Raw genomic sequence first — 25068 nt, 5'->3', positions numbered from 1 at the left:
AGTCATAGCCTTAGCCATTTTCTAATCTAAGAACCTGAGTGGTCTTGCACTAATAATTTTGATTTGTTACAATCCTTTTCTAAGAAGCCATATGACTTTTTTAAGGCACACAGTGGAGAGTTTTTTGAGGGAGTTAGATGGTGTCAAAAGAAGAGGCAGAATAGGAACATACTGGAGCCACATACTCAATGCCATTGCTAATGTAGGCATGTAGTCCTAATCTGCCTTTGCAGCTTTATGGGACTCTACAACTCACTGTGATTCTTGCTTGTTTTTTCCTCAGATTTGTTCAAGTTGAAATTGTAAACCTATGCCAGAACTTGCATGAAGAGATGAGTAAGATTAGCTTTCAATAGTAATTCAAAGGTTAAACCCTTTATGCCTACTATTTTTGGGTAATTTTATAGTTTTTGGATAAATAATTTTACATGATTCAACAGGCAAAATATATAAAAAGGTATACAGTGCAGTGAAAATGCTCACTCTTAGTCTGCCCTGTCTCCCTTTCCTCTTCACTGCAGGTAGCATGTTTATCAGTTTCTTGAGTAGCCTTGCAGACTTTCTTTATGGAATAACAAGCGAATAAGAATATATAGTCTTAATTTTCTCCCTTTTTTACTTTTTTTTCTCTCCCTTTTTTACACAAAAAGCATACTTTACATGCTGTCCTGTACTTTGAACTTTTCACTTAACAGTATGTTTTAGATGCCTTCTGAATCAGCGCATTGGGAGCGTCTTCGTCTGTCTTACAGCCGTGGAGTGTTCCATTCCATGGTGTGAATGCACCATAACCTGTATCACCCTTCCCCTGTTGTAGATTCTGGGGTTGTTTCCACCCTTTTGTTATTACAGAAATGATGTAAGAATAGATTTGTTCCTATGCCATGTTGTTTCTGTGAATTCTATGGGATAAATTCCCAGATATAGGATTACTGCATTAAAGGGTAATTGTATTTGTAATTTTGATGGTTATTGCCAGATTGCCTTCTTTTTTTTTTTTTTTTGAGACAGAGTCTCTCTTACCCAGGTTGGAGTGCAGTGGCACAATCTCGGCCTGGATTCACGTGATTCTCCTGTCTCAGCCTCCCGAGTAGCTGGGATTACAGGCATGTGCCACCATGCCCAGCTAATTTTTGTATTTTTAGTAGAGATGGGGTTTCGCCACGTTGGCCAGGCTGATCTCGAACTCCTGACCTCAGGTGATCCACCCACCTCAGCCTCCCAAAGTGCTGGGATTACAGGCGTGAGCCACCATGCCCAGCCTCAGATTGCCTTCTATAGGAGTTTGCCAGTTTGCCATCCCACAAGCCATACTGGTACCAATTTTAATTCTTAGGAAATTGGTTAATTTGCATATTTTATGTTCTAAAATTACTTTTCAGGTATGGGTAGGAAATTTGAAGTTAATTGAGGTGAGTTTTGTTTTCAGTGAGAATGCCAGGAAAAACACAGTCCTTGTCCTTTTGAGACTTTATTTTTTAGATTAGGAGACAGACGCAAGGCTAAAACCCTTTAAGAAACTTGAATTTTAGGCCGGGTGTGGTGGCTGACGCCTGTAATCCCAGCACTTTGGGAGGCCGAGGCGGGCGGATCACCTGAGGTCAGGAGTTCAAGACCAGCCTGGCCAACATGGTAAAACCCTGTCTCTACTAAAAATACAAAAAATTAGCTGGGCATGGTGGCAGGAGCCTGTAATCCCAGCTACTCAGGAGGCTAAGGCAGGAGAATTGCTTGCACCCAGAAGGTAGAGGTTGCAGTGAGCCGAGACCGCACCACTGCACTCCAGCATGGGCGACAAAGCGAGACTCCGTCTCAAAAAAAAAAGAAAAAAGAAACTTGAATGTTAATACTGGCTTTGCTGCCGACCACATCTGTCCTTCCAGTTTTTGTGTCTATAGCCTCTCCTGTAAAAGGTAGATAGTAATTTATTTCCTCTCTGCTTTATAAGATGCTAAAATGAGAAAATATATACATTAATTGAATAAAACAAGAGAGCTTTATGAAATTTATGAAATATAAGAAATAAATTAGGCTGGGCGTGGTGGCTCACGCCTGTAATCCCAGCACTTTGGGAGGCCAAGACGGGTGGATCACGAGGTCAGGAGATCAAGACCATCCTGGCTAACAGTGAAACCCCGTCTCTACTACAAAAACAAAAAATTAGCCGGGCATCGTGGTGGGCGCCTGTAGTCCCAGCTACTCCGGTGGTTGAGGCAGGACAATGGCGTGAACCCAGGAGGTGGAGCTTGCAGTGAGCCGAGATCACGCCGCTGCACTCCAGCCTGGGTGACAGAGCGAGACTCCGTCTCAAAAAAAAAAAAAGGAAGAAATGTTTTCTGTCGTCTTTTCCTTTGGAAATTAGGAATTAAATTAGACTGCTTTATGGTTCATGAGTAACAGATGAAGGGCAAGGGATCTGCAGTGGGAATTTAGCACATGGTCACACAGGGGCATCATTTAGTTCTGGGGCAACCTAGGGAGCTCAAAGGTGAGGTAAATGGCATTTCAGTGAAACTTGCTGATGTTAACAATTATAATCCTCAAAGGATTTAGTTTAAACATACACGGGCCGGGTATGGTGGCTCACGCCTGTAATCCCAGCACTTTGGGAGGCTGAGGCATGAGGATCCCTTGAGCCCACAAGTTTGAGACCAGCCTGGGTAACATAGTGAGACTCCGTCTCTAAAAATATTAAAAAATAGGCGGGGCACGGTGGCTCATGCCTATAATCCCAGCACTTTGGGAGGCCGAGGTGGGCAGATCACTTGAGGTCAGGAGTTCAAGACCAGCCTGGCCAAAATTGCGAAACCCCGCCTCTACTAAAATACAAAAATTAGCTGGGCATGGTGGTGTGCACCTGTAATCCCAGCTACTTGGGAGGCTGCAACAGGAGAATCGCTTGAACCCAGGAGGTGGAGGTTGCAGTGAGCTGAGATCACGCCACTGCACTCCAGCCTGGGCGACAGAGTGAGACTCTGTCTCAAAAAAAAAATTTTTTTTTTAATTAATAAAATAAACATGCACTGTTTGGTCTTGTAGTTGATGAGAAAAGAAAATCCAAAACTACACACATGGTGCTCCTGGAGATCATTAAAGAAGAAGGACTGTGAGTACTACCTCAGTTCACCTTCGTTAAAGCAACTTGTTAGGAGATTCCTGTGCTTCCAGTAGAGTTATGCTTACTTTCTATCTTTCTCACAGCACTCTAATGTTGTGAATTTGGAATTGCCTGATTTATAAGTACATAATTGTTTTCAGTTTCTTAAAGATCTGTAGTGAGGCATTTGATTCTTTTTATTTATTTTTGTACAATGCTTACCTTAAGCCATTTGATTCTTGATCATGGAGTCTTCCATGAAACTAAAATGCATTGTTTTATATACAGTAAACTGAAAAAAAAATAATAGTTGTTTAGTTCATTCCTGTCAGGTGCATTAAGACAGATTATGTACTTCTTGTTTTAGCTTTTTATTGGAAATAATTTTAAATTTACAAAAATTTGCAAAACTAAACTTAGTACAAAGAAGACAAGTATATGCTTTACCCAGATTCATCTGTTAACATCTTTTCCTGTTTGTTTTACTATTTTTGCTCATGCTGTCTCTCTCCCACCTCCCTTCTCTCCTTACACACACCACACACAAATTTCCTCTGAATTATTTGAGAGTAAGTTACATACATCAAAGCCTTTTAGCCCCATGACACTGACACTTTTAAACAATACAGTCCGCCTGTAATCCTAGCACTTTGGGAGGCCGAGGCAGGCGGATCACCTGAGGTCAGGAGTTCGAGACAGCCTGACCAACATGGAGAAACCCCGTCTTTACTAAAAATACAAAATTAGCCGGGCGTGGTAGCGCATGCCTACAATCCCAGCTACTAAGGAGGCTGAAGCAGGAGAATCACGTGAACCCAGGAGGTGGAGGTTGCGGTGAGCCGAGATCGCGCCATTGCACTCCAGCCTGGGCAACAAGAGCAAAACTCCGTTTCAAAAAAAAAAAGAAAATAGAAAGTTTCTCATTTTTAAGTTTGCCTCACATTTCCTCATGATTCCATTGAGGTTATACATTATTGGCCTGAATAATGCACAGGTGATATTGTGTCCTTCTCAAGATATCACATCTTGACTCACATATTGTCTGCCTGCCTTTGGTTGGCTAATTATGATTTCTTAAATTTGATTTAGCCACTGTGCAATTACTTTTTTCTTCCCTTGCAACTATAAGCAGTCTATGTGGAGATACTTCAAAACAATACAAATATCCTGTGCTTTATCAACATTTTTCCCCTAAATTTACCACGAAGTTGCAAAATGACGACTTTCCAACTCCAGCATTGCCTCTACAGGTACCAATGTTGGCATTCTGCTATAAGCAGGACCTCCCCTTCTCCTTCATTTATTTATCTACTTATTATTGGTATAGGCTCAGAAATGTCTATTTTTCAATGGTTTACAATTGATTACTGTACTTCATTATTTTGGTATTCAAATTGCCCCAGATTTGGCCTGTAGGAGCTCCTGTGAGCTCCTGTGCCCTTGTGAATTCCCCCATCTTTTTTTTTTTTGATACTTATTTCCTATAATTACTTCATTTTAACTGTTCTTGCCCTGTAATAAAACATGAATGGTACTCTATTAACTAACAGCCATGAGGAAGTTGTCTCTAATTTTATATACCAATGTTACTAAAGAAAATTAAGGGAGGGAATTAATAAATCAATCAGACTTTGTGTTGTTTCTTTGGTATCATTAGTGCTAGAATAGATTTCTTGATTTGGACATCCTTCAGAATGTGAGGTGTGTGTACAGTTTGGAGTCCCTTGTATTCGTGTAGGAGTGAAGCTTGAGACCATGTGAATGATGGTCAGCCTTTCCTAGGATTTCTCTGCCAATTTCTAATTTGTCCATGACCTTTACTTTGCTTATTGTGTTTTTCCCCTAGCCTGGCACCATATCGAGGGTGGTTTCCAGTGATTTCCAGTCTCTGCTGCTCCAATTTTGTCTATTTCTACACTTTTAATAGCCTCAAAGCACTCTGGGTCAAAGGTCAACATTCTACCACTGGAAAAGATCTGGTAGTTGGGTTTGTTGCAGGTAACAAGGTTTTCTGGGTATAAAATGTTTTTATATTTACCTTGTGGTTTTATATCCTCTAAGAGGTTATTTAGCCCAAAGTAATGCTTACAAAGAATATAGCCAGTTTTCCAACTTGGTTTTTTTTTTTTTAATTGTGTTAAAAAACGTGACATAAAATTTACCATGTTAATTTTAAGTGTAAGGTCAGTAGTGTTAAACATGTTCACAATGTTATGAAACAAATCTCCAGTACTTTTGCATATTGCAGACCTGATTCTATTCTCATTAAACTCCCCTTTTCCCTTTCCCTGAGCCCCTTAGTAACCACCATTCTACTTTCGGTTTCTAAGAATTTGACTACTTTAGATACTTGATATAAGTCGAATCATACACTACTTGTTTTTTTTGTGACTGGCTTACTTCACTTAGTATAATGTCTTCTACTTTCATCCATGCCATACAGCATGTGACATGACTTCCTTACTTTTTTATGACTGAATAATATTCCATTATATGTATATATCACATTCTGTTTATCCATTCATCTGTTAATAGGCACTTAAGTTGCTTCCATCTTTTGGCTGTTGTGAATAGTGCTATGAAAATGGATGTGTAGCTCTCTCTTTGAGAGCCTGCTTTCCATTCTTCTGGATATATACCCAGAAGTGGGATTGCTGGATCATTTGGAATTCTGTTCAGTTTTCTCGGGAACCTCCATACTGTTTTCCATAACACTGTAACATTTATAATCCCACCAACAGTACACAGAAGTTCCCATATTTCCACATCCTCACTAACACTTACTTTCTGTTTTATGATAGTAGCCATCCTAATGGGTATGAGGTGATATCTCACTGTGGCTTTGATTTGCATTTCTCTGATGATTAGTGATGCTGAACATCACTTTTCATATGTTTGTTGGCCATTTGTATATTATCTTTGCAGAAATGTCTGTTCTGGTTCTTTGTCTATTTTTTAATCAGGTTATTACATTTTTTTGCTCTGAAGTTGTAGGATGTCTGTATGTGGTATAATAAAAAATGTATGTGGCCTTTGTCCCTGGTTCCTGGCACAGTTCCTAAAACCATTGGAATTTCCTGAGTAGTAGTATCTTTTGTTATTCCTAATGAGCCCCTTTGAACTATCTCTGAGTTTAGGCTAATAAAGTTACTATTGGTGGGCTCCTAGATAGCTTCAGGATGGAGGCTGGTGGCCAGAGGAACCAGCCATGTGCTTAGAGAGAAGGGGAGAGAAGTTGAATTTTGGATAAATAACTCAGGATAGAAGTCTAGGAGTCATCACAGGCTCTTCGTGCCTTCCCACCCTCCACATCTGCTTGGCCATCAAGAACCACTGGTCTGTCTCCTCACTGTCTCTTGGATCCATTTCCTCTTCTCCATATCCATAGCCATTTCCCCAAATCAAACCTTATCATTGCTCACCTGGACTATTGCACTATAGTCTGATCTTCCCTTTGAGGTCTTCCTCATGAACCCACTTTGCACAGTTTTGCAGCCTTTCTAGGAGAGTAGTTTTCAAAGAGTATCACGACTCAAAGAACTCAAGTTTGAGATTTGTTCACTTGGGGAAAAAAATTAGAATAGTTCCTGTACAGAAAAAGACTTGTTTTTTACATAAATTACAACAAATGGCAATCTAGTGGGATCTTCTATACTTGAGACCAGTTATTTGTAATACTTTGATTTTAATCATTTTAGATTAGTTTATATGTATTTGCATTTGAAAGATTATAACTTACAGGGACTAACTCATATAACTTTCCATGAAACTTCTAATTCATGGACTATATGTTGAAATCTTTTGCTTTTTAAATTGTCCAAAGCGGTTTATTTGCTGTGTCTGCCATCCCATTACCCACCAGATATATACCACCCCTGTGTTACTCTCTCTGTCCTGTTCATCTTTCTAACTCTTAGTGCAATTTAGGATTACAGCAGACTCCCCCATACCTAACACAGCTGGACTGGTATAGTAGGGCAGTTAGCTTTCATTTTTTACTTTTTTCCACTTGTCTAAAATTTTTTTTTCAGGGCTCATGAACAATTTTTTTCTTTTTTTTTTCAGGGCTCAATTTTAAAAAGTCAGTTAAAGTAACACATATAATAAATAGCCTACTAACCTTAATTGTTGTATTTTAACTTTAAAGTTCACTCTTCCACTTTTTTTTTTTTTTTTTTTTTTGAGATTGTGTCTCACTCTGTTGCCCAGGCTGGAGTGCAGTGGCATAATCTTGGATTGCTGCAACCTCCACCTCCTGGGTTCAAGCAATTTTCCTACCTCAGCCACCTGAGTAGCTGGGATTACAGGCACCCACCACCATGCCCAGCTAATTTTTTATATTTTTAGTAAAGATAGGGTTTCACCATGTTGGCCAGGCTGGTCTCAAACTCCTGACCTCAGGTGATCTGCCTGCCTCGGCCTCCCAAAGTGCTGGGATTACAGGCGTGAGCCACCGCGCCCAGCCTAAAGTGTTTTCTTGAGTGTGTGAGAAGGGGGTAGGATTACAGTTGACACATAGGAGAGTCTACGGGTCTGTGTTGACTGTGAGCATCATCTGTTGTCTTGTCAGAAAATGGTCCAAGGCCAGGTGTGGTGGCTCACCCCTGTAATCCCAGCAGTTTGGGAGGTCAAGGCAGGAGGATCACTTGAGCCCGCAGTTTGAGACCAGCCTGGGCAACATAGCAAGACCCCATCTCTATAAAAAATAAATTTTAGACCAGGCGCGGTGGCTCACGCCTGTAATCCCAGCACTTTGAGAGGCTGAGGCGGGTGTATCACCTGAGGTCAGGAGTTCGAGAACAGCCTAGCCTACATGGTGAAACCCCACCTTTACTGAAAATACAAAAAATTAGCCAGGTGTGGTAGCAGGTGCCTGTAATTCCACCTACTTGGGAGACTGAGGCAGGAGAATTGTTTGAACCTGGCAGGCAGAGGTTGCAGTGAGCCAAGATCATGCCACTGCACTCCAGCCTGGGCAACAAGAGGGAAACTCTACCTCTAAATAAACAAACAAACATAAAATATTTTAAAAGGTAGGGAAAGAAGGAAAGAAAGAAAATGAAAATGGTTGGGAGACCCAGCTCCTGAGTCGCTGGCATCAGGGATCCTCCGTGGCGTGTCATCGGCATCGTCGGGCCCCTGGTGCACCCCCGCGGCAGACAGAGCTCACGCCCCTTCCCACCCCGTGGCTGGTCCGGGGTCCGGGCACCGCGTGGACGGTGTCTCTGTAGGACGCAGGGACCGGGCTGCAGCCCATGCCTCGAGCAGACTGCATTACGAAGCATCTGTCATACTCCTGCCGGGACCAAGTGGTATGGGGCTTCGGCCGTGGCTACAAGCAGCTGGGCATCCCCCACAGCTAATTTTCCTGAGCAAGTGGTAGATAATCTGCCAGCCGATATATCCAGTGGCATTTATTATGGTTGGGCCAGTGCTGGAAGTAGAGATGGTCAGAAGATGGTGGTGAGCATAGGATGGAACCCATACTATGAGAATACGAAGAAGTCCATGGAAACACATACCATGCATACCTTCAAAGAGCACTTCTATGGGGAAATCCTGAGTGTGGCCGTTGTTGGCTACCTCAGACCAGAAAAGAACTTTGATTCATGAGAGTCACTTATTTCAGCAATTCAAGGTGATTTTTGAGGAAGCTAAGAAATGACTAGATTTACCAGAACATTTGAAACTCAAAGAAGATAATTTCTTCCAGGTTTCTAAAAGCAAAATAATGAATGGCCACTGATGAAAAATCATATTATTTATTCATTCACTGTCTTCCAGTATTTCAGTGTTTTGTTTTGTTTTTATTTTATTTTATTTTAAGTTTTTGAGATGGAGTCTCGCTCTCTCTCCCAGGCTGGAGTGCAGTGGCGTGATCTTGGCTCACTGTGACCTCTGCCTCCCAGGTTCAAGTGATTCTGCTGCCTCAGCCTCCTGAGTAGCTGGAATTACAGGCGCACACCACCACGCCTGGCTAATTTTTGTATTTTTAGTAGATATGGAGTTTCACCATGTTGGTCAGGCTGGTCTCGAACTCCTGACCTCGTGATCTGTCTGCGTTGGCCTCCCAAAGTGCTGGGATTATAGGCATGAGCCGCAACGCCCGGCCCAGTGTTTATTATTGTCCAGCCTCATCTTGGTTATATTTCAAAAATCAAACATTTTCCTACAGCTGTGAATTAGTTTAAACAGTACAATGTAGTTACCATATCATGCTTCATCTGTTAAATTAAGCCCATCATGTCATAGCACTAAAAAGATTCATTTAAAAATCAAGATTTAAAAAATATATATTGATTAAGATGTACCACTAGGAAGGTATTACATGCGTATAAGTATGGGTAAAAAGGCAAGTCACTAGTTTGTGATGAAAAGTGAAATTTTCATGGTAAAATACCAGAATGTATGTACTTGTGTAGTGCGTACTTCTAAATAGAGAAGGCTTATAAAAGTAAACAGATTAAGGCCAAGTGCAGTGGCTCACGCCTGTAATCCCAGCACTTTGGGAGGCCAAGGTGGGAGGATTGCTTGAGCTCCGGAGTTCAAGACCAATCTCGGCAACATAGCGAGACCCCATCTCTATAAATAAAACAAAAGTAAATGCATTAAATGGAAGGTTGACAGTTTATCATAAACCTACAAAGATGTTTGTAAAATTTTGTTTTAGTCATTTTCTTTGAACTCACATCATTATACCATCTTCATTTTTGTATGGAGCTGGTTCAATTCTAAGTCCTCTAGACTTTCCCTGCCTATCTTTGTTGTTGTTGTTGTTGTTGTCGAAGACAGTAAAATAAGTGTTTTTCAAGTCTAAAAAAAAAAGAAGAAAAGAAAACTGTCAAGAACTGCTATTCTGAAACTCTAAGTCTGTTTTATCCCTGCTTAAAAGCTTTCAGTATCTGTTCCTTGCATGCAGCTTGGCACCTTCAGTATACCAGACTCCTGCTGGTATACTTTTATAGGATAAAAGCCTGACATATCTTATCTGCTGTGATACAAATTACCTCAAGCTTGATCTTTACTGATCTTGACTGCAGACACCACAGCACGCTGAGCCCTTGTAACAGGTAGGCTACTCGCTAGGATGCCTGTGCTCTTCCACTTCTAGTAACTGAGTTTTACGCTTACCAAGAGTGAACTGTTTATTCTCAAATCTGCTTATGCCAGTTGCATCTGTTACTGTAGGGAAAGCATTATGGTATGGGTGTACTTCCATGCCAATCTGTGAGTCTTTGACTGTACCAAGCCATGTAGTAACCCCATTCCTCTACAGCAACTGTGGTCTGTCTGACAACAGTCTTACTGCTTATTTCATCTTATTAACTCCCATTCATCCCTTTATTCTCAGCTACCTCTTCTTCAGGAATCTTTCCTTGTTTCCTGTACCCACCACCCCTAGGTTTTATTCTGGGTTAGGTGCCCTTTCTATGTGCTCCAACATGGCATCTACCTCTGTCTTAGTGTTTATTGTCTAACAATAAGTCTGCATATTCTTCTTCATCTTTTGCTAGACAGTAAGCTCCTTAAAGGCAGAGATTACATTTTTGTTATTTCCACATCCCCAGTGTCTTAGCACACTGCCTAGTACATAGAAGGTACTTATTAAACGTTGAGTGAATGAATTAAATTTAAAATACTGCTCCTCCTGGAGTCTTCTCCATTTTACTAAATGGCAGCCCTGGTCTTCCAGTTGCTCCACCAAAAATCTTGAATATATCTTCTTCTCTCTGACCCCACCTCCAATCCATGAGCAAACCTTTCTTCTTATGATACCCAGAATTCAACTACAGTCGGCCCTCATCCGTGGGTTCCACATCTGTGGATTCGGCCAACTGTGGATTGAAAGTATTTGGGGAAAAAGAAGAGGGTAGTTGTATCTATACTGAACATGTAGACTTTTTTTCTTGTCATTATTCCCTAAACAATACAGTATAACAACTATCTACATAGCCTTTACATTGTATTATAAGTAATCTAGACATTAAAGTGTATGGGAGGATGTATGTAGGTTACATGCAAATACTTGTGTCATTTTATATCAGGGACTGGAGCATCTGGGGATCTTGATATCCAAGGGGGTCCTGGATCCACTTCCCCTAAGATATGCGAAGTAACCGTACTTTCCTCTCCACCACCACCTCAGTCCCAGCCACCATCATCAAATCTTTCTGGAATTATCTCCAGAGCCTCCTACTTTTTTTTTTTTTTTGCAACAGGGTTTCACTTTGTCACCCAGGCTGGAGTGCAGTGGCATGATCTTGGCTCACTGCAACCTCTGCCACCTGGGTTCAAGCGATTCTCCTGCCTCAGCCTCTCTAGTAGCTGGGATTACAAGCACACACCACCATGCCCAGCTAATTTTTTGTATTTTCCTAGAGACGGAGTTTCACCACGTTGGCCAGGCTGGTCTCAAACTCCTGACTTCAAGTGAGCTGCCTGCCTTGGCCTCCCAAAGTGCTGGGATTACAGGCGTGAGCCACTGTGCCCAGCCAGAACCTCCTAACTGATCTGTCACTTTCTCCTTAGTCTCCTTCAGTCTGTATTCAGCACAGCAGCCAGTGTGATCATGTTAAAACATGAATGAGGGCTGGGTACAGTGGCTCATGTCAATAATCCCAGCAGTTTGGGAGGCTAAGGTGAGAGAATCGCTTGAGGCCAGGAGTTTAAGACAGCCTGGGCACCATAGCAAGACCTCATTTCTACCAAAAAAAAAAACCAATTAGCAGGGCATGGTGGCATGCACTTGTAGTCCTAGCTATTCAGGAGTCATTCAGAGTGAGACCCTGTCTCTTAGAAAAAAATTTTAAAAAGTGAATGAGATCATGTCATTTCTCTGTTCAGAGCCTTCCAGTTGCTTCCCATCTCACTCAGAGGAAAAGCCAAAGTCCTTACCTTGTCCTGCAAAGCCTGTTTAACCCGGCCATCCTATTCTCTTTACTTACACTGCTGCAGCCACCCTGACTTCTTCATCCTAAACACTCCTGGCACGTGTCTGCCTGTGTACCTGCTATGACCTCTGCCTGGTAACCATGTGGATAACTCCTTTGCCTCCTTTTAGGTTTTTCCCAAATGGCCACTGTTAAATGATAAACTTTAGACAAATTATGTTTAACAGAGCTTTTTTTGTTTGTTTTTTGAGAAGGAGTCTCACTCTGTCACCCGGGCTGGAGTGCAGTGGCGCGATCTCCGCTCACTGCAACCTCCGCCTCCCAGGTTCAAGAGATTTTCCTGTCTCAGCCTCCCAAGTAGCTGGGACTACAGGCGCAAGCCATCATGCCCAGCTAATTTTTGTATTTTTAGTAGAGACGGGGTTTCACTCTGTTGGCCAGGCTGATCTCGAACTCCTGACCTAAGGTGATCCACCTGCGTCAGCCTCCTAAAGTGTTGGGATTACAGGCGTGAGCCACCATGCCTGGCCTAACAGAGTTTGATCAAGCAAAGAACAATTCGCAAATTGGGCAGCCCTCAGAACCAGAAGGTCAGAGTGACTCTGGAGCTGTCACATGGTAGAATATTTATGGACAGAAAAAGGAAAGTGACATATAGAAGTCAGAAGTGAGGTACAGAAACAGCCAGATTAGTTACCACTTGTTTACCTTATTTGAACAGTTGGCTGCCTGTGATTGGCTGAAACTCTATGATTGGCACAAGATCCAGGTAGGTTATAGTTCACTATATACTGAGAAACCTTCAAGGTTATTTTTTTTCCTTTTCTTTTTTTTTTTTTTTTTTTTTGTTGTTGTTGAGATAGGGTCTTGCTCTGTCATCCGGGCACTGGAGTACAGTGGTGCAGTCATAGTTCACTGCAGCCTCCAACTCCTGGGCTCAAGAGATCCCCCTGCCTCGGCCTCCCCAGTAGCTAGGACTACAGGGATGCCACCACACCCAGCTAATTTTTTTTTATTTTTTGTACAGATGGGGGTCTTTCTGTGTTGCCCAGGCTGGTTTCAAACCCCTGGCCTCAAGAGATTCTTCTGCCTCGACCTTCCAAAGTGCTAGGATTACAGGTATTAGCCACTGCTCCCAGCTGAATATTTATTTTAAAAAATAAAAAGAATATTTATTTTTATTGATATTAAATCTACCTTCTTAAAGCAACTAGAAACAAAGATGAAACTTAGTACATATGTTTTCTCCCCCTGCAAACGTATGAGTTAGCAATTCCAAAGTGACTTTTTGTATACTTTAGGATAAGTAAATATATTGTGATCCTGGCCTAGTTCGCTTGGACAATAAAGAAAAAGTATATACCCTTTCCCACAAGCCATTTATTCATCATGGTTTGTTCATCAAATATATATTGGGTGTCTAGTATGTGCTAAATCCAGTTCTAGATGCTAAGGATATGGCAGTAAATAAAAAATGAAAATCTCTGTCCTCATGAAGCTTACAATCTAATATTGTAAGATAGACAATAAACAAGGAAAATACATAGTATGTTAGAGGATAAGGTTACAGACAAAATTTAAGCAGAGAAGGGATAGAGAGTACTGAGGGTTAGAAAGAGGTACCATTGGCCGGGCGCGGTGGCTCATGCCTGTAATCCCAACACTTTGAGAGGCCGAGGCAGGTGGATTACCGAGGTCAGGAGTTTGAGACCAACCTGGCCAACATGGCGAAACCCCCTGTCTACTAAAAATACAAAAATTAACTGGGTGTGGTAGCGGGCACCTATCATCCCAGCTACTTGGGAGGCTGAGGTAGGAGAATCACTTGAACCCAGGAGGCGGAGGTTGCAGTGAGCGGAGATCGAGCCACTGCACTCCAGCCTGGGAGATAGAGCGAGACTCCATCTCCAAAAAAGAAAAAAAGAGGTACCATTTTAGATAGTATGGTGTTAAGTCAAGTTAAAGCTGTCTCTACATATTTTAACTTCAGTGCTGGGAATGGTAAAAAATTAAAAATAAATTAGCCGGCATGTGCCTGTAATCCCAGCTACTTGGGAGGCTAAGGAGGGAGGATCACTTAAGCCCAGGAGTAGGAGGCTGCAGCAAGACCATGTCTCAAAAAAACAAAATAAAATAAAATAAATAATTGTAACAGCTAATGGAATAAAACAGGTGTGAAAGTGAATTCCTGTGTTTTGAAATTGTAAAGAATAAAAGGAATAATCACTTGGTGATTGGATTAGATTAGTGGTTCTCCACTGAGGCTGATTTTGACCCACAGGGTCAAATGTGGCATCTAGTGGGTAGAGGCCAGGGAGACTGCTAATCATCCTACACAAGAGCCCACATACACACACAACAAATAATTTTCCACCCCAAAATATTAGTACTGTCACAGTTGGGAGACTCTGGGTTAAAGAATTTTACAATCCTTTGTTAATTGTGAGATTCTCTGATTGTAGGTCTTCTCTTTTTCTGAAGGTTGAGAGTTCCTTGAAAATTACTTTTGTGAGTTTTAAACTTCTCTTCATAACAAGTTTTTATATCTTAATATGTACATATTTTTATAATAATTATAACAGCTTTCTTCCTGCTGTGAGTATTATAATCACTGTAGAAATGAGTTGTATCATCTCTAAGGAGAACTAGGAACAGCGTTGTTGCTCTTCAAATTCTTCTTGAAACTTAGAAATTTATTATTTATTGTATTTTCCCAGAAAAACAAGCCTATAAAGCTTCATATCTTGGGGAATAATGTGGGAACAGAACCTTAACAGATAAATGAAGAGACACTTATTTTTATGAAATTGGAATTTTTAGCAATAACTCTTACTGAATGCCAAAGGTATTATCATTGTTGTGATAGTTCAAAATGTATTTCCTGCCCTCTGGCCTTAAATCTGGCAAGACAGGTTTGTTCCTGTTGTGTGTAAAGTTTCATTCCTTCCTACGGAGTCAAGTGAGATTTGTTAGATTTGTGCCTTTGTTTTGCCATTTTCTTATATCCATGGTCATTGCACATATTTTCCAGAAGTGCATACCCAATTAGCCTACTTCGTTTGTGTTTTCTCTCCGTAACAAAGGAGACTCACTGCTGATAAAACTAATTGTTTTCAAGATTTCAGGAGTAAATAGCTGTGTTCTAATTGTTCCTTGATTTAGTGAATAATTTTAGTGTGTTCAATTACTGTTATTCATCTCTTAATTTTGGTTTATTCTTTCTTGTAAATGATTTGTTACATAAAAGAAAGAAAGAAAATAGAATTATAGACATTAGAATTAGAAAAAAAACAGTCTTCTGCCCTTTGGTAGGTAAAGTATTAATTTGTATTTCTACTTTAGAGCGGAAGTAGCATCCACAGCTTGGAACTGGCGGAAGAGTTGTTGTTGTTGTTGTTGTTGTTGTTGTTTTGAGATGGGGTCTCGCTCTGACACCCGGGCTGGAGTGCAGTAGTGCGATCTCGGCTCACTGCAACCTCCACCTTCTGGGTTCAAGCGATTCTCCTTCCTCAGCCTCCTGAGTAGCTGGGACTACAGGCGCCCGCCACCGTGCCTGGCTAATTTTTGTATTCTTAGTAGAAACAGGGTTTCGCCGTGTTGGCCAGGCTGGTCTCTAACTCCTGACCTTGTGATCCACCCGCCTCAGCCTCCCAAAGTGCTGGGATTCCAGGCGTGAGCAACCGCACCCGGCCGGAACTGGCAGAAGAGTTACACGGGCTTACAAAAAAGCAGACAATTTTCTTTATCCTTTGGGCCTGTCAGGAGTTGGAATTGGTACTCACGAATGGTTTGTGGCATGCTTCTCTCAGTGGAATGCTGACCTTTGCTTGATGATATAGGTTGCAAGTTTTAGTAAAGCTTCGGATTCTCAAGTATTTTGAGTAGCTTCTCTCAGAACTCATAAAATTATACTGGTTAAAAAATACTCCTCCATCTATTTTGGCTTAGAGAGTGAAAAAAAGTACTTGAACTTCTCAGATAAAAAGCTTTGAAATACCAAATGTTCTTACAAGGACTTTATAATCTGTTATTTAAGTAATGTGGTACATTTTTGTACTTGAGGTTGTCCTTGAGAAGAATCCTTTTAGGCCGGGTGCGGTGGCTCACACCTGTAATCCCAGCACTTTGAGAGGCCGAGGCGGGCGGATCACGAGGTCAGGAGATCGAGACCATCCTGGCTAACACGGTGAAACCCCGTCTCTACTAAAAATACAAAAAATTAGTCGGGCGCAGTGGCGGGCGCCTGTAGTCCTGGCTACTCGGGAGGCTGAGGCAGGAGAATGGTGTGAGCCGGGGAGGCGGAGCTTGCAGTGAGCCGAGATAGAACCACTGCACTCCGGCCTGGGCGAAAGAGCGAGACTCCGTCTCAAAAAAAAAAAAAAGAATCCTTTTAGTCTTTCTGCTTGTGTTAATAATGGGGATATGAAAGCAGATTTTTTTTTCTTTTTTCTTTTTTTAATAAGAAAAGGTCTCACTCTGTTGCCCAGCTCTGGAGTGCAGTGGCATGATCACAGCTCACTGCAGCCTCAACCTCCTGGGCTGAAGCGATCTTCCCACTTCAGCCTCTTGAGTAGCTGGAACCACAGGAGTGTGCCACCCTGCCTGGCTAATTTTTAATATTTTTTTTAGAGATGGAGTCTCCCTCTTTTGCCCAGGCTGCTATTGAACTCCTAGGCTCAAGTGATCCTCCCATATCAGCCTCTCAAAGTGCTAAGATTACAGGCATGAGCCACCACACTGGGCATGAAAGCAGAATTTTAAAGAATGGTTAGATCTTAATCTTAGCTGCATTGCCTCCTAAGTGTTTTTGTATGTGCCTACCTCTTAAATGAAGAAAATTTTTATTTCTGAAGAATTTATTTAACAGGCAACATATTTCACTTGTTTAGAAAGGTGGGTGCACTATACCTTTCTACGGTATCTGTGGAAGCTTGTGATCTCTGGTCCTGAGCTCTCCTGTCCTCCTTTTCTCTTAAAACAAATGCAGTAGACTGCTCAATAGCACTTTCTAGTCTGATTTTTCTGGCTGTTGGTTTTTCTCTGTTAAGTGAAGTGTGCATTGCATTGAATAGGAATACATTCTAAAATCTAGGCAAACAGGAATGTGTTAATATCCCTCTATACTGGCCTCTGGGGCATGGGTGCTTTTGAAAAAATGAGACTAGGAAGAATCTGTAACTAAGGGTTTTTTAGATTATAGGCAATGCCTCCAGTGACAATGTATGAGCCTTTTAAGTTATAACTAAAGATGACTCCTTAATGTTATGTGAATCTATAAAAATATAACAAATACGACTGATAAAATTATTAGGTGATGCCTTTTATTTTGAGAAATGTGCTCTTATAATGCTCCTTAGAGATAGGCAGCAAAATATCTTTAACAACTGTATGCAACTAATGAAAAAATTGAATTTGAATCTCTTGGCTGTTTTGTCAAGTTTATCCTTGGTTAGACTGTATTTCCTATATATAATATTTTGAGATACCTTAAATCAAAACTTTATTTCTTCAATTATCTTTAAATGGATTTTAGTAAAAGACTTCTCTTCCTTAGGATTTTTTCTCTTGGTTCTTCAGATCTTGACTAGAGCCAGACAGTTGGATGTGTGCTTTTTTACTGAGTTTGTTCATTGCTTCATTTGTTCCACTATTTATTTAACAAATGTTTATAAAGTATATACCATGTGTCAGGCACATTGTTACAATTCTATCTGGTATTTTTTTTTAATCATTTCAGGACTGGTGAGGAATATTTTAATATCTCAAGATGGTGTTAAATTGGGATCATATGTTTTCAAAAAAGAAGCACCTGGCTCATTGTATTGTTCTACTCTGAGGCAACCTTGGGGGGCCAAGATCCCCATCCTTAAGCTTGTAAGGATCATGATGCTTGTGAAGCTGTTTCAGGTGTTTTGTGACACTTACCTGATGCTTGCTGCCTGCCTATCCTAATGCTCTCAGCAAGGAGGAACTCTTCAGCGAGCTTCTAGTCTCTGTTAAGGCACTTTTAAATGTCACCACCTTTCCCCCTCCTGTCACTCATTGTACCATATCCATACTCACTTCAAACCGTGTGAGCTACTTAAGTAAGAGTTGTAAATTGTGTGTTTTATCTGATATTGTCATGGACTTAGCATGTTAGCTGTAAGCCACTCTCATCTCTAAAGCTGTTACGTTAAAATTATATTTAAAGCTATATCAAAATTGCTACTTTGAATGGTATATAAATTGACAAATAGATTGCCTGTTGTACAAATGAGGGAACTTATTGCTCTTCATCTGGAGAGCTGCTGCCGCCAGCCATTTTGCTATCAGCAAAGCTTCCAAATCGCTTCTAACAGTAGTGGCTTGTGTTGTACCCTGGCACAAAGAGACACCTTACCTTAGGTCTCCTAAGAGGTCAGTGACAGAGATATAAATGGAATATTGGTATGTAGCTTTAAAGCAGCAAAGCTTAAAAGCTGACATTTTGCCTTCCCTTTTTCTCTCCATCTTTCTTGTTAAAGGAGTGGTTAATGTGTTGCTAACAACTCCACTCTGGGTGGTAAACACCAGACTGAAGCTTCAAGGAGCAAAATTTAGGAATGAAGACATTGTACCAACAAACTACAAAGGTATCATTGGTAAGTATCTCTTTGCTGAATTCCTATTTAAGGGTTTTCTTCCTTCTTTGTATCTGGAATATGTTGCCACATAAAGCTACATAACATATCCTTTGCCCACTTTTTGATGGGTTTGTTTGATTTTTTTTCTTGTAAATTTGTTTAAGTTCTTTGTTGATTCTGGATATTAGCCCTTTGTCAGATGGGTAGATTGTAAAAATTATCTCCCATTCTGTACGTTGCCTGTTCACTCTGACGGTAGTTTCTTTTGCTGTGCAACAGCTCTTTAGTTTAATTAGATCCCATTTGTCTATTTTGGCTTTTGTTGCCATTGCTTTTACCTAATGTAAATGATGAGTTAATGGGTGCAGCAAACCGACATGGCACATATATACATATGTAACAAACCTGCACGTTGTGCACATGTCCCCTAGAACTTAAAGTATAATTAAAAAAAAATAAAAGCTGCATAACAGACAACCTCAAATCTCGGCATCCATCAATAGCATTTCTTTTTAACACATGTTTGTGGATTGACGTGGATTTGGCTCATCTAGGCTGACCGTAGCCTGACAGTCTCAGTTCACATGGCTCTCCTCTTTCTGGGACCAGCATGAGCATATTCTCATTGTGATGGCAAAAGGTCAAGAGGACACACCCAATGGTATAAACACCTTTCAACCCTGTTGGCACCTTGTCTGCTGACATCCCAGTGGCCAAAGCACATCACATAGCCAAGCCCAAGACAAGGGGTAGAGAAGTATGCTGCTCCCAAAGAGTATCAATGGGAGGGGATGAATATTTTTGAAGAATGATCTATACTTTTTTATTCTAGTGTTGTCTTTGGATAGACACCAGATTGGTATCTGATATCTTTGAGCTTCTGCCTTTCAATAGTACCACATTGCCAGGTTCTCCTTTCCCATACATCAATCTTTGTAGTGAAATAGTGGTTTTTAAAAGTCAAATCCTGTATAATAAATTCTAGGAAACGATCTTATCTTTTCTTGTGCTGGACTTTTTTGTGAAATATGTGGGCTCAGTTCACAGTTCTGTGTAATCCAGAATTCCCAGTGATGGTGATAATGACTTAGGAGGATTCGATCATCAGGAACAGTTGCCTGTGATTGAAGTTGGTCTCTCAATAACTTGGTGACTGTCAATGTCTGATTATCAAAAAGTAATTAACCGATAAACTTGACCCCAAACTATCATTGCAAGAAAGAAATCTTTTTTTTTTTTTTTTTGGAAATGGAGTCTTGCTCTGTCACCCAGGCTGGAGTGCAGTGGCACAATCTTGGCTCACTGCAACCTCTGCCTCCCGGGTTCAAGCAATTCTCCTGCCTCAGCCCCCCAAGTAGCTGAGATTACAGGTATGCACCGCCACACCTAGCTAATTTTTGTATTTTTAGTAGAGACAGGGTTTCACCATGCTGGCTGGGCTGGTCTCAAACTCCTGACCTCGTGATCCACCCGCCTCGGCCTCCCAAAGTGCTGGGACTACAGGCGTGAGCCATTGCAACCGGCTGCAAGAAGGAAATCTTTATAGAACCAGTATGGTTTGTGTTCTGGGTACATTTCAACAGAATTCATGTTGTCTTCTCTAGTTGGGGGATTGTGATCATGCTTTTCAAAAGTCCCTGATTTCTTGCTTAGATGCTTTTCATCAGATCATTCGCGATGAAGGAATCTCGGCTTTATGGAATGGCACATTTCCCTCATTGCTGTTGGTCTTCAATCCTGCCATCCAGTTCATGTTTTATGAAGGTTTAAAACGGCAGCTTTTAAAGAAACGGATGAAGGTAATCCTTGATTTTGAAAGCAGTAAAATAATTCTGTCTGACACCTTCTTGTTGACTTGATTGATATGGTTTGTTCTTCCTTTGCTTTCCAGCTTTCTTCCTTGGATGTGTTCATCATTGGTGCAGTAGCCAAAGCGATTGCCACCACGGTGACCTATCCCCTGCAGACGGTACAGTCAATTCTGAGGGTGAGTGCTGGAGTTCTCTTCGCATTTAGTCAAACAGCATTCGAATACATGTAGTCTCTTGATTTAAAACAATGTTAATAAAGCAATAAAGCAGTTAGTTGGTATACCAGAATATTCCCTATCTGTTTTTTTTCTTTTCTTTTTTTGAGACAGGATCTCCCTCTGTCACCCAGGTTGGAGTACCGTGGTGCACCATGGGTCTCTATACCCTCGACCTCCTAGGTTCAAGCAGTCCTCCTGCCTCAGCTGCCCAAGTAGCTGAGACTACATACACCACCTTGTCCAGCTAATTTAAAATTTTTTTGTGTGAAGATGGGGTCTCACCATGTTTTCCAGGCTTGTCTCAAAGTCCTGGACTCAAGCGATCCTCCCACCTTGGCCTTCCAAAGTGCTGGGATTATAGGCATGAACCATTGTGCCTGGCCCCCATTTTTTCATTTGTTTGATATTCTGCTTAACTAGGCTGGCTGTCATTGGTTTAGAATGAAGTTTGCATTTGTAATTTCTTAGGTAACATAATGTCTCAGAAAACACAGATGTGGAGACAAGTTCCTTAAAGACCTCAGGAAAGCATAAGTTTGCTTCCTTCTCATTCAAGTTGATTGGTTTGGTGCCCCAGCAGGGATTATCCTTTACAAAGTCAGAGGTTAATTCCTTTAGTTCACTCAGGAGGAATGAATGATTTAGCTTTTTTGAAGCACTCTCAAACTTCTGTTTTTTATTTCATTCAGTTATTTATCCATTCAAATATTTACTAAGCATCCACACTGTGGGAGGACCTGGGCATGCAGTGGTAAATAAAAGTCATAATCCCTGCCCTTATGGAGCTAGTGGAAGAGAGAATGAACAGGTAAACAAGCAAAATAAATAGGTAATTACAAATTGAAAAAAGAACTATAAAGGAAATTATTTACTGGAGAGGGGCATGGTGGGGCTCTTCTTAGATAGCATGATTGGAGGTGGGCTTCTTTGAGAAGGAATATTTAAATCAAGATGCAAAGGAGGGTAAGGCCCTAGTGGGGCAGAGTGGACGAAAGTGCATTCCAGGCAGGGGGAGCATGATGTGTGTGTTAGTCCATTCTCATGCTGCTCTAAAGGACTGCCTGAGACTGGGTAATTTATAAAGGAAAGAGGTTTAATTGACTCACATTTCAGCATGGCTGGGGGGCCTCAGGAAACTTACAATCATGGTGGAAGGGGAAGCAAACATGTCCTTCTTCACATGGCGGCAGCAAGGACAAGTGCAGGGGGAACTCCTCCTATAAAACCATCAGATCGGTTGGGCGCGGTGGCTCACGCCTGTAATCCCAGCACTTTGGGAGGCCGAGGCGGGTGGATCATGAGGTCAGGAGATCGAGACCATCCTGGCTAACAAGGTGAAACCCCGTCTCTACTAAAAATACAAAAAATTAGCCGGGCGCGGTGGCGGGCGCCTGTAGTCCCAGCTACTCGGGAGGCTGAGGCAGGAGAATGGCGTGAACCCGGGAAGCGGAGCTTGCAGTGAGCCGAGATTGCGCCACTGCAGTCCGCAGTCCGGCCTGGGCGACAGAGCGAGACTCCGTCTCAAAAAAAAAAAAAAAAAAAAAAAAAAAAAAAAAAAAAACCATCAGATCTCATGAGACTTATTCACTACCACAAGAACAGTATAGGGGAAACCACCCCCATGATTTAGTTATCTCCACCTGGCCCTGCCCTTGACTTGTGGGGATTATTACAATTCAAGGTGAGATTTGGATGGGGACACAGCCAAACCATATCAATGTACTAAGAATTTGGTGTATCCTAGGGACTGAAAGAAGGCCTCTATGGCAGTAGAGTGGCTCAGGGTGAGATTGCAAGAGCAGCAGGGAAACTGTAGGTGAGGAATGTAGATTTTTATCCTCAGCACTTTAAGCTGAGAATATGTGATGGGAAGGGCTTTAAGCTGGGGAATATGTGCTGTGATTTACAATTGAAGAAGACTGTTGTGGCTATTATGTGGTGAATTGGTCAGAAAGCTAAGAGAGAAAGCCAGGGGCAATCTAGTAGGAGGCCATTTCAGTAATACAGGCAAGAGAGGATGGTGGCCTGGACCACGGTGGTGGCACTGGAGAGGAGAGGGGTAGGATGAGGACAGATTCAAGATCTGTTTTGGAGAAAAATTTCAAAAGGCTTGTTGCTAGATAAAATAGGGGTGGTAGTGAGAATATTCCAGTTCAGAAAAATTAGTACCTTCTGTTAAAAGCATTTTTACTAATATATTATTTTAAAATTGGTACTTAACATAAGGGAATTCAGTAGCATCCTTATAAATGTATTTTAACACTTTTATAATGTAAACACATAATCTGAAGAGCTTAGACTGCAGATGTTCTAAATGATTCATTTCTCAGAATTTCTTAAAGAAGTGGAAGTTATTACCATCAATATCTAAATCATCATCCTGGGCATATTTTTTTCTTTTGAGGTAGAATTTTCCCTATACCTCTCTATAAAATGAAAATTATTATGCTTGCTTCATTGAAAAATTTTTCTTAGGCCGGACATGGTGGCTCATGCCTGTAATCCCAGAACTTCGGGAGGCCGAGGTGGGTGGATCATTTGAGGTCAGGAATTCGAGACCAGCCTGGCCAACATGGTGAAACCACATCTCTGCTAAAAATACAAAAATTAGCCGGGCGTGGTGGTACATGTCTATAATCCCAACTACTCGGGAGGCTGAGGCAGGAGAATCACTTGAACCTGGGAGGTGGAGGTTGCAGTGAGCCAAAATTGTGCCATTGCACTCCAGCCTGGGTGACAGAGTGAGAAGATGTCTCAAAAAAAAAAAAAAAGGAAAAATTTTTCTTATTTTCACTTATTTGATTGAAATATTTCACTCAGTTGAAAAATACAGGATTAATGAAATCTATGGTACTAATTGGATAAATTTATTAATGTATGCTATAAGATACTACTCCAACATAATATCCTCCCCAGGTAAAAATGAAGATTTTAAAAAACAGCAACAGTACTTTTGTTTTTTTTCCCTCTTTCCTCAGTTTGGGCGTCATAGACTAAACCCAGAAAACAGAACATTGGGAAGTCTTCGGAATATTCTCTATCTTCTTCACCAACGAGTAAGGTGAGCTTTGTAGATGCCTCACATTCCGTGCTCTCCTTCAGCAGCCATCTCTGCCAGGGAGGGGTTGCATTTCCCTCTCTCACACTACTGCCTTGGTGGTGGCAACCTCCAAAACCTTTCCCTTGCTTGCTGTGCTTAGACATTTCCCATTTTAGGAGCCTAGTACAGTATGACAGCATTTTGGGAAATTATGGAAAAGTTCAGGTTCTTATTCTTTGTTAGTTACAAATATTCAGAACTCCTTCAGAAAGAGAACCCTTCTATACTTCAGTCACCCTGAGTGTGCTTTCATCAGTGGCATATCCTATGATGCCTCTTAGCAATATAACATCTGCCTATAGAATAGGAGTACTGGAGAAGGGAGGGGGCAGTGGAAAAAGTGATAATAGTGATGATGATGATGATAATGATGATGGTGGTGTTGGTAAGAGTAGCTAACATTTTCAGTGGTTTGCCATGTGGCAGACACTGACCTAGAGGCTACACATAGGTAATCTCAATCCTTTTTTTTTTTTTTTTTTTTTTTGGAGACAGAGTCTCGCTCTGTTGCCCGGGCTGGAGTGCAGTGGCGCTATCTCCGCTCACGGCAAGCTCCGCCTCCTGGGTTCACACCATTCTCCTGCCTCAGCCTCCCAAGTAGCTGGGACTACAGGCGCCTGCCACCACGCCTGGCTCATTTTTTGTATTTTTTAGTAGAGATGGGGTTTCACTGTGTTTGCCAGGATGGTCTTGATCTCCTGACCTCGTGATCTGCCCTTCTCAGCCTCCCAAAGTGCTGGGATTACAGGTGTGAGCCACCGCGCCCAGCCTTGTCAATCCTAACAGTAGCTCTGTGAGTTAAGAACTATTGTCATTTCCTGTTTCATTTAAAGAAACTGACACTTAGTGAAGTCAGATAAGTCAGGGACCTCCTTTGAAGCAAAAGCTCTTATAACTTTATTACTGTTCCTAGATACAAGATACTTTGAAAATAAATTTATTATTAAAATAAAATATGCAGCCAGGCAAAGTGGCTCATGCCTGTAATCCCAACACTTTGGAAGGCTGAGACAGGAGGATAGCTTGAGGCCAGGAGTTCAAGACCAGCCTGGGCAAAGTAGTGAGACCCTGTCTCTACAAAAAATATTTACAAAATTAGCCAAGCATGTGGCACAAACCTGTAATCACAGCTACACACGAGGCTGAAGCAGGAGATTCACTTGAGCCCGGCAGATTGAGGCTGTACTGAGCTATGATGGCACCACTGTACTCCAGCCTGGGCTAAAGAGGCAAGACCTTGTATAAAAAAAATAAAAAAAAAAAAAGAACATTCAAGGGACTAAAAGACAAAATTAGGCTGGGCGTGGTGGCTCACACCTATAATCCCAGCACTTTAGGAGGCCAAG

At 41.4% G+C, this 25068-nt stretch overlaps 1 protein-coding gene and 1 pseudogene across 7 annotated transcripts in view, besides 1 other annotated feature; both read left to right on the top strand.

Annotated features, from left to right (window-relative positions):
- The window catches only part of SLC25A17 (solute carrier family 25 member 17), a 49717-nt gene that overhangs the window by 21727 nt on the left and 2922 nt on the right, over positions 1–25068 (top strand). For 2 of the 7 annotated variants that reach the window (NR_104238.2, NM_001282727.2), the window contains 4 exons: positions 18495–18611; positions 20247–20392; positions 20485–20580; positions 23601–23683. Coding sequence is in view for 3 of the 7 variants with exons in the window: in NM_001282727.2 (NP_001269656.1) it covers positions 18495–18611; positions 20247–20392; positions 20485–20580; positions 23601–23683 (442 nt within the window). In the remaining 4 variants the exon portion in view is untranslated. Of the gene's footprint in view, positions 1–283; positions 337–3039; positions 3107–4943; positions 5096–17725; positions 17863–18494; positions 18612–20246; positions 20393–20484; positions 20581–23600; positions 23684–25068 lie in introns of all 7 variants that reach the window. The other 5 variants (NR_104235.2, NM_001282726.2, NM_006358.4 and 2 more) reach the window with 5 other exon arrangements.
- Positions 8192–9913, top strand: RFKP4 (RFK pseudogene 4; annotated as a pseudogene).
- Positions 15056–15555: an enhancer, noted in NCBI's record as "H3K4me1 hESC enhancer chr22:41178069-41178568 (GRCh37/hg19 assembly coordinates)". NCBI's record gives its function as "activates a minimal SCP1, AML or CMV promoter by ChIP-STARR-seq in primed H9 embryonic stem cells {active_cell/tissue: H9 hESC(primed)}" and the evidence as "EXISTENCE:reporter gene assay evidence [ECO:0000049][PMID:30033119]".

Source organism: Homo sapiens, chromosome 22 (assembly GCF_000001405.40).
Source record: "Homo sapiens chromosome 22, GRCh38.p14 Primary Assembly".
Lineage (NCBI taxonomy): Eukaryota > Metazoa > Chordata > Mammalia > Primates > Hominidae > Homo > Homo sapiens.
Note: the sequence above shows the minus strand (reverse complement) of the source record. Positions and strands in the feature narration are given on the sequence as shown.